The following is a 13690-nucleotide window of genomic DNA, read 5'->3' as shown; positions in this document are numbered from 1 at the left end:
CTCACGCATTGCTAGTGGGAATGTAAAATGGGACAACCACTTTGAAAATTTTTGTGTGAGTTTCTTAAAAATCAAATATACATCTTCAGTATGATCTAGCCTTTCCACCCCTAGATACTAATCCAATAAAAATAAAAGTATATGCCAATAAAGACTTTTACAAAAATGCCATGACAGTTTTATTTGTAATAGCTCCAAACTTTAAACATCCAATATGTCCATCAAGAGATAAATAAAGAAATTGTGGTATGTGCGTAAAATAGAAGTTATGGCTTGGATGTGTGCCCTTCAAAATTCTGGTATTTAAACATAATGGCCAATATGATAATATTAAGAGGTAGGGCCTATAAAAAGTGATTAGATTATATGGGATCCTTTTTTGTGCCTAGAATTAAGGCCCTTATAAAAGATGTTTCATGTGGCATTTGGCTCTCTTGTCCTTCTACCCTCCACCAAATTAGGACATAATGTTCATTCCCTCTAAATAATACAGTCATCTCCAGACAACTGAACCTTCCAGTGCCTTGGCCTTGGCCTTTGCAGCCTCCCAAACTGTGAGAAAATAATTATTTATTTTCTTTATAAACTAGCCAGTCAGTGGTATTTTTTTGTAGCAGCACAAATTGAACTAAGACAATGGCATATTACTTAATAACAAAAAGAATGAACAGTTGATACATGCAATAACACTGATAAATATCAAAAATGATTACACTGAGTAAAAGAAGCCAGGCAAAAAAGAAAACCTTTTCTTCAGTTGCATTTTTATGAATAATTTTTAAATATCAACAAATCTATAGAGACAGAAAGTTGATCAATGCTTGCCTGGGGGTGGTAAGAGAAGATAAGAAGAGATTGCAAAGAAGCATAAAAAACTATGAGGATAATAAATTTGTTCATGATCTTGATTGTAGTAACGTTTTCACAGGTAGTTACATATGCAAAAACTTATCAATCAGTACACCCTAAATATGTGTTGTTTATTGTAGTAAATAAATCAATACCATATATGTGGAAAATAACCTATATATGATCATCCATTTTCAATTCTAAGTGCCTTAATTTTAAGCAGGCTACATGGAAATAAAGAGAGAAAGAAGCAGAGTGTACCGAGTCACCACCCTCCCTCCTTCCTGCCTTCCTTTTCACCCAGCAGCCAGGCACCTATTGGTTGGGGCCCCCTCAACTACCCCTTCCCAACCCCACCAAAAAATTTAGTATAAGCTAGCTTGCAACATAGACAATTTTACCTTTTCTTACCAGCTAAGAGTAGCCACCAGAGCCATAAGTCAAATGTTTGAAGTGTCCTGAGACAGTTGTAATGCATTGTGGGCTATGATAAAATGCAGCAGAAAGACCCTAAAGAACGTACTTGAAGCCCCTGCCTAACAATCAATAGGTGACACTGGGAAAGATTGTGACACCATAGTACTCAGCCAATGAGAAACCAGGGGAAGGACCTATGCACTACGGGATAAATTGCTTGTTAAAACTGTGCTGGGTCAAGACAAGGATGCCCTCTCTAACCACTCCTATTCAACACAGTATTGGAAGTTCTGGCCAGGGCAATCAGGCAAGATAAATAAATAAAGTGTATTTAGATAAGAAGAGAGAACGTCAAATAGTCTCTGTTGGCGGATGACATGATTGTATATTTAGGAAACCCCATCATCTCAGCTCAAAATCTCCTTAAGCTGATAAGCAACTTCAGCAAACCTCAAGATGTTAAATGACGATTTACTGGGTTCAGCACACCGACATGGCACATGTATACATATGTAACTAACCTGCACATTGTGCACATGTCCCCTAAAACTTAAAGTATAATTAAAAAAAAAAGATACAGAATCAATGTGCAAAAATCACAAGCATTCCTATACACCAATAATAAACAAACAGAGAGCCAAATTATGAGTGAAATCTCATTCACAATTGCTACAAACAGAATAAAATACCTAAGATTTCAACTTATAAGGGATGTGAAGGACCTCTTCAAGGAGAACTACAAACCACTGCTCAATGAAATAAGAGAGGGCACAAAAAAATGGAAGAGCATTCCATGCTCATGGATAGGAAGAATCAATATTGTGAAAATGGCCATAGAGCCCAAAGTAGTGTATAGATTCAATGCTATCCCCATCAAGCTACCATTGACTTTCTTCACAGAATTAGAAAAAAAACCTACTTTAAATTTCATATGGAACCAAAAAGGAGCCTGCATAGCCAAGACAATCCTAAGCAGAAAGAACAAAGCTGGAGGCACCATGCAACCTGACTTCAAACAATACTACAAGCCTACAGTAACCAAAACAGCATGGTACTGGTACCAAAACAGATATATAGACCAATAAAACAGAATAGAGATCTCAGAAATAATGACACACATCTACAACAATCTGATATTTGACAAACCTGACAAAAACAAGCAATGCAGAAAGGATTCCCTATTTAATAAATGGTATTAGGAAAACTGGCTAGTTATATGCAGAAAACTGAAACTGGACCCCTTCCTTACACCTTACACAAAAAAATAACTCAAGATGGATTAAAGACTTAAATGTAAGAAATAAAACCATAAATACCCTAGAAGAAAACCGAGGCAATACCATTCAGGACATAGGCATGGGCAAAGACTTCATGACTAAAACACCCAAATCAATGGTAACAAAGGCGAAAATTGTCAAGTGGGATCTAATTAAACTAAAGAGCTTCTGCATAGCAAAAGACACTATCATCACAGTGAGCAGGCAACCTACAGCATGGGAGAAAATTTTTGCAATCCATCCATCTGACAAAGGGCTAATATCCAGAATCTACAAGGAACTTTAACAAATTTACAAGAAAAAGAACCCCATCAAAAAGTGGGCAAAGGATATAAACAGACACTTCTCAAAAGAAGACACTTATGCAGCCAACAAGCATGAAAAAAAGCTCATCATCACCGGTCATTAGAGAAATGCAAATGAAAATCACAGTGAGATACCGTCTCACACCAGTTAGAATGGCGATCACTAAAAAGTTCAGAAAAAATAGATGCTGGAGAGGATGCGGAAAAATAGGAACACTTTTACACTGTTGGTTGGAGAGTAAAGTAGTTCGACCATTGTGGGAGACAGTGTGGCGATTCCTCAAGGATCTAGAACCAGAAATACCGTTTGACCCAGCAATCCCATTACTGGGTATATACCCAAAGGATTATAAATCATTCTACTATAAAGACACATACACATGTATGTTTATTGCAGCACTATTCACAATAGCAAAAACTTGGAACCAACCCAAATGCCCATCAATGATAGACTGGATAAAGAAAATGTGGGACATATACACCATCGAATACTTCGCAGCCAAAAAAGAATGAGTTTATGTCCTTTGCAAGGACATGGATGAAACTGGAAATCAACATTCTCAGCAAACTAACACAGGAACAGAAAACCTAACATTGCATGTTCTCACTCGTAAGTGGGAGTTGAGCAATGAGAACACATGGACACAGGGAGGGGAACATCACACACCGGGGCCTGTCAGGGGGCGGGGGGCTAGGGGAGGGATAGCAGTAGGAGAAATACTTAATATATATATATATATATATATATATATATATATATATATATATATATATATATATATATATATATATATATCTCCTGGTTGTGGCTGCATTCCGGACACCAGATCTTGCAAGACCATCATTAAAAGTCTCACTTTCGCTGTTCTCTGGGTCTCTGAGTCCATTCTTGGGTTTGGATGGGTGAGTTTTTTTTTTTTTACAACTTGGTGGCCCATATGGAGATCTCTGTGCCTCCATTGATTGAAACTCCAGCTGAGAGGAGAGACACATCCCACTCAACTTATGTGGCCTGCTCTGTCTGGATGTCCCAGCTCCCTGCAGAAGCCAAAGACAAACCCGAAACCATTATTCAGAAGACAATGGAAGTGACACTGGGAGAAAAGCAGGCACTGTGGCAACCAGGCAACTTCGTGCACAAACCAAGGTATAAAAATTGGACCATAAGTACTGCCTTGGTGGTTGGGCATTTTTGCAGGTCGAGTGTGTGTGTGTCTGAGATGTATCCTAGATACGAAGTGAGTGCGGATGTCCAATCCGCGCTTTTAGTCTCCCTCAAGGGAAATGGCCGGAGATGGACCAAGCAGTTGATTCACTGGGTGTGCCAAAAACCTCCAGTAGGGAGGGTTGATTACACAGGGAAACTCAGAAACAGGGACCAGCAGAAAATGGGAAGCAAAAATTCTAGGCCTAGAGAACAAAGGAAGGAGGGAGCCAAGAAGGTCCCCTCCAACATCCTCCCAGATAGTCCATTGGGCAGGATGTTACAGGCTTTGGGGAATAATCCCCGAACCAGGGTTAAGGAAAAACAAAAGATGATAAAGTATTGCTGTTTTATCTGGCCTAAAGACCCCATTCATCAACTTTCTGTCTTTTGGCCTAAGTTTGGCTCGGACGAAGGTTGGGTATGCCAAGATTTAATTATGTATGTTAATGATAGAACCCCACTTTCACAAGAGGAAGTAAATTATGCTGTTTGCTAGATTAAGGAATTATCTTCCGTGTTATCCCTTAAAGAAAAATAAATGAACAACACTTACTCAGTAAGAAATCCTGGGACATCCTTTCTTGCCTGCCCACCCCCCATATCTCAGGCAAAATAGGAAACAGGAAAATCAGGGAACAATAGAAAAGTCATAAGGGGAGAGGCTGGAGGCCATGAGGAAACTAGACCATCTGTTCCTTTAAACCCTTATCCGAGTTTAAGAAAAGAGAACAATGCAAGAAGGATGCTAAAGCTTCCCTATCCCCTCTAAAGAGAAGATGTCTAATATGTTCCCCCTCAGGGAAGTCCCTATGTGACAGGGAGAAATTGGATTTGTTAATGCAAGTTTAACAAGTACTGAAGTCAGAAATTTAAAAAGGGAAATGAACCCACTCCTACAAGATCCCTTTGGGTTAGCAGAACAGTTGGATCAATTCTTGGGACCCAGTTTCTACACCCAGGCCAAAATGTCTATCGTGAATATTCTGTTTACTGGAGAAGAAAGGGGAATGATTAGGAGGGCAGCTATGACCATTTGGGAAAGGCAGCACCCTCTCAGACAGAAGTTCTGTCAGCTGAATAAAAATTTGCAAATGTTGATCTTGAATGGGATAATAATGATCCTAGATGTCATGCCCAAATGCAGGACCTCAGAGAGCTAATATTTAAAGGGATCAAATAGTCCACTTCTAGGACACACAATTTATCAAAGGCATTTGAAATTCAACAAGAAAAGGAGGAAACTCCCTTTGCATTCTTTCAGAGGCTTAAAGATCTGATGAGAAAATACTCTATATTACATCTGGAGGACCCAGTAGGACAGGGTCTTCTAAAGGTCAACTTTATGACCAAAAGCTGGACAGATATCACCAAAAAGTTACAAAAGATTTATAGCTGGAATAAAAAGTTGATTAAAGAGTTACTGAGGGAAGCTCAAAAGTTTTTTGTAAGAAGAAAGAAAAGAGAAACTGGGAAAGGGAGAAAGAGAAAAAGTAAGAAGGGAAATCTAAAAATAAAGGGGAAGAAACAGCAAACGTAGTGGGCCAGAGAGAGAAAGATAAAGAGTTAAGCTGCTAGGTAATAGGGATACTCATAATCTCAAAAACATATTTTCTTTATGTTGGGAAAATTTCTGTTCTTCTCTCTTAGGTATTTTGAACTATACAATATATTATTATTAACTATAGTCACTCTACTATACCATCAAACACTAGATCTTATTTTTTCTCTTTTTTACTATTATTATTTTTCTTAGTTGAGAAAAATAATCTCGACTCACTGTGTTGGGATCTCACTGTGTTGCCCAGGCTGGTTTTAAACTATTGCCTTCAAGCAATCCTCCCACTTTGGCCTCCCAAAGTTTTGGGATTACAGGGGTGAGCCACCACATCTAACCATATTCTTTCTATCTACCTGTATTTTTGTACCCATTAACCAACATCTCTTCATTCCCCCTGTTCCCTACACTTTCCAACCTATGATAATCACCAATCAACTCTGTATCTCAATGAGATCCACTATACTTTGCTCTGACATATGAGTGAAAACATGCAATATTTGTCTTTTCTGTACCTGGCTTAATTCACTTAACATAATGATCTTCAGTTCCAAACATGTTGCCACAAAAGACAAAATTTCATTCTTTTTATGCTGAATAATACTCCAGTGTATACATGTACTGCATTTTCTTTATCTATTCATCCATTGATAGACATTTAGGTTAAGTCCATATTTTGGCTCTTGTGAATAGTGCTGTAATAAAAATTGGAGTGTAGATAACTCTTCCATATATTGATTTCCTTTTTTAAAAAATATATACTCAGCAGTGGGTTTTTGGACCGTATGGTAGTCTTATTTTTAGTTTGTCAAGAAACCTCCATACTGTTTTCCATGGTGGCTTTACTAATTTACATTCCCACTAACAGTGTATGAGTGCTCCCTTTTCTCTACATCCTTCCCAGCATCCATTAATTTTGTCTTTTTGATAAAAGCCATCTTAACTGAGGTGAGTTGATATCTCATTGCAGTTTTGATTTGTGTTACCTGATGATTAGTAATGGTGAACATTTTTTCATATGCTTATTGGCATTTGTATATCTTCAAAGAACCATCTTTTTTAAAAATTTAACGTTTTATTATTTTTAATTTTTTGACTTTTGTTTAATTTTAAAATTGTTTCCTTTCTTCTACTTGCTTTAGACTTAAATTGCTCTTCTTAACATATTTTCCTAAGGTGGAAGTTTAGGTTATTAATTTTAGCTTATTCTTCTTTTGTAATACATGCATTAATGCTCTATATTTTCATTTCAGCACTACACTTTAGCCACATATCACAAATTTTGATATATTGTATTTTACTTTTTGTTTTGTTGAAAATATTCTTCAATTTTCCTGGAGACTTTCTCTTTCACGTAAATGTTCTGCTTAATTTCAAAATATGTGGGTTTTTAAAATCTCCATGCTATTGATTTTAGATTAATTATGTTATTTCCTGGTAACATACTTTGTATAATTTCTATTCTTCTAAATTTTTCAAGGTTTATTTTACAGCCCAGAATATGATGTATTTTTGTGAATGTTTTATATGCACTTGTGAAGAATGTGTATTCTGTTGTTGGAAGGTTGGTTTTTAAAGGTCAGTTGGGTCACATTGGAAGACTTTTGAAGGACATTTTCACTGGGAATGGAATACTAAGTTGATAATGTTTTTATTTCAACACTTAAAAAATGTATTCTTGTTTTTGTGGTTTCTAAAGAGAAGTCTGCTATGATTCTTATGCTTCTTTCTCTGTAAACAATGTGCCCCTATCCCTGGCTGACTGCAAAATTTTCTCCTTGCTTATAGTTTTTAGCAGTGTGAATATAATATGCCTATGGGTGTGTGTGTTTATATGCGTGTGTGTAATATGTTTTTGTTTTGTTTGTATTGCATTTATCCTGTTTGATGTTTTCTGAAATTCTTCAATTTGTAGTATTTGGTAGCTATTTTGGAAAATTATCAGCCATTTTTTAAAAATATTTTCTCTGTTCTTTTTGTTTTTCAATTGATGCAACTCAGTAATTTTTATTGCAACTGGAAGACAATACATCACAGAAACTTTATGGTAGGTCTGGGGAAAAGTGTTGTTTACAATAAATGATGGAATACTTTGTCTTTGGCAATATGATTACATACGAAGAATGCAAAATGCAGGTATGGATGCCTTCCAAGCAACACCATCAAGTCCCTAGAGTTTGGCTGATTGCACCTGCCTCCACATTGTTTGTTTAGGTTCACACAAATATAACGGAACATCACGTTCTTTCTCCTTTATGGTTCTCCCTTTCTATTCATGATATTTGCATCTTCATACAGAAATACAGAAAAAAATTGGCTTTTGAAAAATTATTACTCTCGTGTTAATTTGGCCATGTAGGTCTATTGGCCAGCCAAGGTCAGACGACCCTAAGCATCGATAGTAAAGCTCTTGGTCTTCTGATCGCTTTATCACATTTTTTCTTCTGTAAAACAAAACAAAACTCAGAAATGTTACAGAATCAGAGTATTAAAAAATGTACAAGTGTATATGCTTCCCAGACACACATGTATACATTTTTCCTCCACATTTTCACTATGGCAGTATTAAGTACTGAGTGTGAATGACACAGCATGAAACTGGTTACTGAATCAGCTATGAGTGCAGATGGCCTCAACATACATACTCAAGAAATGTTGCATGTTTAAATAACTGAGAGTGTGCTAAATCTCATCTAAAAAAAGGAGGAGAGGGGCTGGGGAACTCAGGCCACAGTCATGAAAGGATGAATACAATTTCTAGGTTTAATAGTTTCACCATATCAAAGTCTTCGAGAATCCACTATGGAATATCAATTATTTTGCAAAAGGTAGAGAAAGAAGTTTCAACTTTTTCAAATGAAATACAGTGGAAAAACACTGTTGCATATATTCCAACTAAATAGTCTTGATTTCAATGCTAACAAAACAACTGGAAGGGTACACATGAGCATCTCATGGTTAAGTCAGAAATGATCATTCACACAGGTCTGTTTTCAGAAGTACAACAGCAAGATGCCGCACCTTAGACACATTGGTTTTGGCTGTTAAAAGATGGATCATTTTAAAAACCGTGTTTTCCTTCCTTAATTTTTGTTCAGTGAAGCTAGCACTTGTTTGCTGAACTGTGGAAGAACTGCAAGGTCACACACATTATTCATGATAAAGCTACTGAGCTGACGAGTCTGTGCTTAATTCAAGAATAACCAGTAGGAGAGAGAGAAAACACTAGGAGTTAATCACCATCGCTGGTGTTCTCTCAAAGGAAGAGGGGTTAACAGATGAATTCACAAAGGTAGGCAGATCTGTACAGAACACTGAATGCCATGTGTAAATCCTCATGAAACTCCAGAAACAGGAACACCACAGAATGTATATACTTTGATTTACACATTCAGTTACAAAGGAAAAAAGACACCATTACAACTTTGTACTCTGTTAACTACAATATAAAACAAGTCCAGAGTTTGGCAGGTAACTAAAAGAGGGTTATCACTTAGGTTATATAGCAAAAGTGTTGATGTATATTATATATAGTAGTATAAATAATAAAAAGTATTATTTAAATTAGATCACAGTGCTGCATTATGTGCATAACAGTGTTTGATATAGTATTGGTGGGCTGGGACCTACGACACTAAGGACTTAACTGTCAACATTGGGAAGTCACAATCAAGAGGAAACACAGAGTTCCAATGTTTTCTTTTGGTAGCAAAAAAAAAATAAAATAAAAATCCTGAAGATGAAAGAAAAATACTTCTCTACAGAAACATAAAAATCAGTTGCAACATCTGGACAGCTGTGATCCACCAGAAAGAAATGACTCCCAACCTGAATTAAAAGGAAAGATAAATCACATGGAATTTAATCCAATCTCATCTAGAAAAGTTTCCCATTTAGGTCACTTGTACGTAACTCCAATTCCTTCTCCAAGAGCCCTTCCAGGAGAGGCGCAAGGCCCCTCGTCACAGAGTGGAATGAGTGGAACTTGCGTCAGTAGCCCTTGGCCTGGGCAGTCCTGGCGTGGTGCAGGACTCTGAGCTGGGCACAAAAGGCGTCCACCTGGTTCTCACTCTACAGAGCCCACTGCCTAATGCTGTCCCTCAGGCAGGAGCCTCCTTCAACACAGTGGCCCCTCCCAGAAGGCTCCGTGGTAGTAACTGCTGTGGCCAGCAAGCACTAGACACATTGATTGCCTCTGCAAAACAAAAGAAAACTCCATTCTTGAGAAAGGCCTCTGGCACATTCCTTCTTAAAAACTCCCAAGATAGAGACCTGCCACAGTCGTTTTGGCCATGGTTTTCTCCAACCACCAGTGAAATATGAGTTTGGTTCATTTTAGTTTCAGATAGATGGCTTCACCAAAGAACTCTTGAAAGAATACTGATTAGAGAGGGGCAGGGAAGTAGGAGCTTTTGTCTCTCTTCTCCTCGTAGGATTCTGATGACATGTACATTAGACCATTTATTATCCCACTGGGCTTGCATGTTCCGTACTATTTTCTTACTTTTTTCTCTCAGCATTCCTGTTTGGGGAATTTCTACTGACTCAACTTCAAGATTATTTATGTTTTTCTTAGCTGTAGTATGTCTACTGATGAGCCCAACCAAAACAATCTAATTTCTGTTATTGTGGGTTTTCTATTTGTTTTAACTTTTTAAAAGATGGTTGGGATACAGATTAACTTTCTTTTGTAAATAACTGTTTCACTTTGCCTGAAATAGGACATATATTCACTCTAATAAAACAGAATGGAAAGTCTCAATTCATGGGAGTTCCTGTACAAGGGGCTGATTCTGTGTTTGGAGCTGAGCTTCTCACAGCAGCTTTTTTTCAGTTATCTTATTATAGATGTGCTCTAACTGATATTCAATCCCCTCTTTCTCCAAGGGAATAAACCACTTTCACAAAGAGCTGCCCTATGTAGATCACACAGTTTTATAGCTTGCAACAAAGTGATTAGGGACAAATAAAAAAGCAAAAATAAGGAAACTAACACTGAAGCAATCCTACTTCTCATGTCTCTGAATAGAGAAGTAAGGTAATCTTTAACCAAAGGAAATAAAAATATGCAAGTTAACTACCTACTTTATTTACTGTTAGCTAAATTTGTTTACCTAAGGCTTTATCCCTTTGCAAACCAAAGATTTTTTTTTATTAATGCAGCTATGCTTGCTAATAAATAAAATGTATGTAGTTCCCAGGGATGCACTTCACTGGGTTTCTGCATTTGGCACCTGGTAGTGAAAAAAAGTATTATTTCCCAACAAATCATTACTGAAGACTAAGAATGAGAACTCCAACTAAAGAACATTATTCTCTCACCCCAGTAACATGTTGACCATATTTTCTCTACCCTCATATTAGAATAAATATATCTTTCCAGCTTTTCATCTCCTATATTCTATCTTTTCCTAGAAGATACTATCATTTCATATTTTACTGCAAGTTTAGAATATAGGTTAAGATTATAAAAATCCAATTTCACACTTGGTACTAAGAAAATTGAATGCTATAAAATTAATCCTCATTACTCTAGTAGGGATGCTGGTGCTTTTACAATGAGTCTTTACTGCCTATAAGTGATGCTGCCTCCAAGAAAACAGCTCTGCAGAAAGTTTTTTGGTTAGTGTTTTCCACAGCTTATTTCTGGAAGGAAAAAAGGCAATTTCATACAAAAACAAACAAACAAACCCAAAAAAGCTACATATGTTAATCTTGTCTTTAAACACCAAAAATATATATCTAAAGAGAACAGATGTAAGAAAAAGAGTCCAGGAACAGCCCATTAGGGACCAAATTCTGCAAATGGAAGTTTTGAAGCCCACTAACTAAAATTTTTTCTAGATCCAAATAAGTGCTACAATACCAGATTTTTAAGTCTCAACTCATAGAATTGAGAACCCTTAAGCTGTTAACTTTGTCCTGTGTCTTCCTATTAAAAAAATTACTCCTAAAATCTGTGCAAATGTTACTGAGACACACCTGCAGTATGTGACAACATGAGAGATGTTCTTAACTCTTTTATAAGGTGAAATTCACTTTCGATAACTGAAAATGAAAAAACAAAGTGCTATAGAGAGGAATAAAAGCTCATGAAAGTATTATACAAAAGCAGACTGGCTGAAATCTGTAACTTTATAAGTAAAAATTATAATACCAATAACCCCCTCTATAATTAACTACTCCACAGTGAATAATCTGGTACACATTTCTTGATAATGAATGACTCTAGTTTGCTACAGTCGAAGCCTGCCACAACTGCAAGGCCAGGGTTCTCCCCCTTTTCTTGTTCTTTGTGCACAAGGTGATGCCACCTACTACAAGGCAGTTATATAGACAGGTGAGTTTAGGGGAGCTTCTCACCCCAACCTGCTAACTCAGCAGCGGTAAGTTCACCCAAATGAGCTCTGACCTCCAATATGTATCTGTTCATAATTTTATGAAGTATCTAAATATTATTCATTAGTTTAAAAAATAATAGAACACTCTGGACCAAGTAAATTATGAAATTGAAAAGTTAGGAGGGATACAAATTATATTAACAACACTTTCTTTAAAAAATAGAATCAGTTTCTTTTGAAATCAACCACAGTGGTGAGATGTGTTTTTCTTTTCAGGTGCCCCATGATGGCACACAGCTTTACTCAGCAAATCCTGACAGCTTCCAAGTCCCAGGATACAAACTTGTACCAGCACATGGGGCAACATAACCTTTCAACAGTGTGGAAAAGAGCACATGTCACCACTAGGCAATGAGAGAGTTGACAGATACTCATGGCCTCTCAATAGCAGACATGGTTGGAGAGCTTTCCTCGTTCTTTTAGAAAAGTTCATGAGGAAGCTGTGATTAGGATCAGTCCAGAGAAGCAAAACTCTTTTATTTTCAGTGCCCAGACATCAGTCAATATACTGGGAGAATCAGTGGAAACCCTCACCATAATCTTGCCTCTTGAGCACACTGCACACAAACACTTCTATGGGGCAAGCATTCAACTTCTTCAGGGTCACATTCCCCTTTCCTGTGGTTTGTCCATAAAGCCCAGATATCTCACAGAGTTTTTCTTCCTTGAGTTCATCTGTTCTGTCAATTTTGTTTCCCAAAATACGAATTGGCACATTGTATACTGTTTCATCAGTCATTAAAGCTTTAAGCTCAAATTTGAATTCCACGAGGCAAGAATGATCCACACAATCCACCAGAAAGAAAATCCCATTAATTGCTGGGAGATAATTTTTCCAAACCGATGTGCTTGCTCGTGCCCACCAAGATTAAAAGTTGTAAAAGTCATTCCAGCAATTGTTAGCTCTTGTGATGTCAGATGTAGTGCTGGAATGTGTTGGCCCAATCTGTCACCTTTGAGCATGTGAAGAAGAGTGGTTTTGCCTGCATTGTCCAAACCCATGAATACAAGTTTTCTATATTTCTTCTAGAGTCCTAGAAACTAGATCACAAAGCTGAAGCCATTGTAGATTCACTCAAAGATGAAAGACATTATTAATGCTTACACTGGCCTGAGGGGCTCCTCTGTCAGTAGCGTGTGGCTCAGACTCTCCCTCAGAGCACACGAACCAGCAGCACCTGGGACCACTAGCTACTCACTGGATGTACATCACAAACCTCCCCCAAGACTTTCCTATTGTGATTTTTATTTCTGGCATTGCCATATTATTCTTTCTTTTTTATTGTATAAATTTAAGGTGTTGTTTTGATATACATATACATCATGAAATAATTACTACAGTCTTATTAACATATCCATTTTATTTTTACAAGAGAATTATCTGCCTGAAAATATCAATTATGCCAAAGCTGGGAACTACTGTGTTAAATGCTGTAACAGTAAAAGTAGATGACAAGCAAGATTATATCTGTACTTTCAGCAAAAAATGAAAACTGTAAGAATGAATAAATAAAATGCTGTCCTGCACCTTGCAGGACATTTAGCCTCGTCCTTGGCCCCTACCCACTAGATGCTAGTAAAACATCTCCCATTAAGGCAATGATAAATGTGTCCAGATATTGCCAAATATTTTCTGTGGGCAAAATTACCTGCTTTTGAGAACCAGTGATTACACATGT

At 37.1% G+C, this 13690-nt stretch overlaps 2 pseudogenes; both read right to left on the bottom strand.

Annotated features, from left to right (window-relative positions):
* On the bottom strand, nt 7587-10025 carry FOXN3P2 (FOXN3 pseudogene 2; annotated as a pseudogene).
* On the bottom strand, nt 12208-13219 carry SAR1AP4 (secretion associated Ras related GTPase 1A pseudogene 4; annotated as a pseudogene).

Source organism: Homo sapiens, chromosome X (genome assembly GCF_000001405.40).
Source record: "Homo sapiens chromosome X, GRCh38.p14 Primary Assembly".
Lineage (NCBI taxonomy): Eukaryota > Metazoa > Chordata > Mammalia > Primates > Hominidae > Homo > Homo sapiens.
This window is presented reverse-complemented; position numbering and strand designations above follow the sequence as displayed.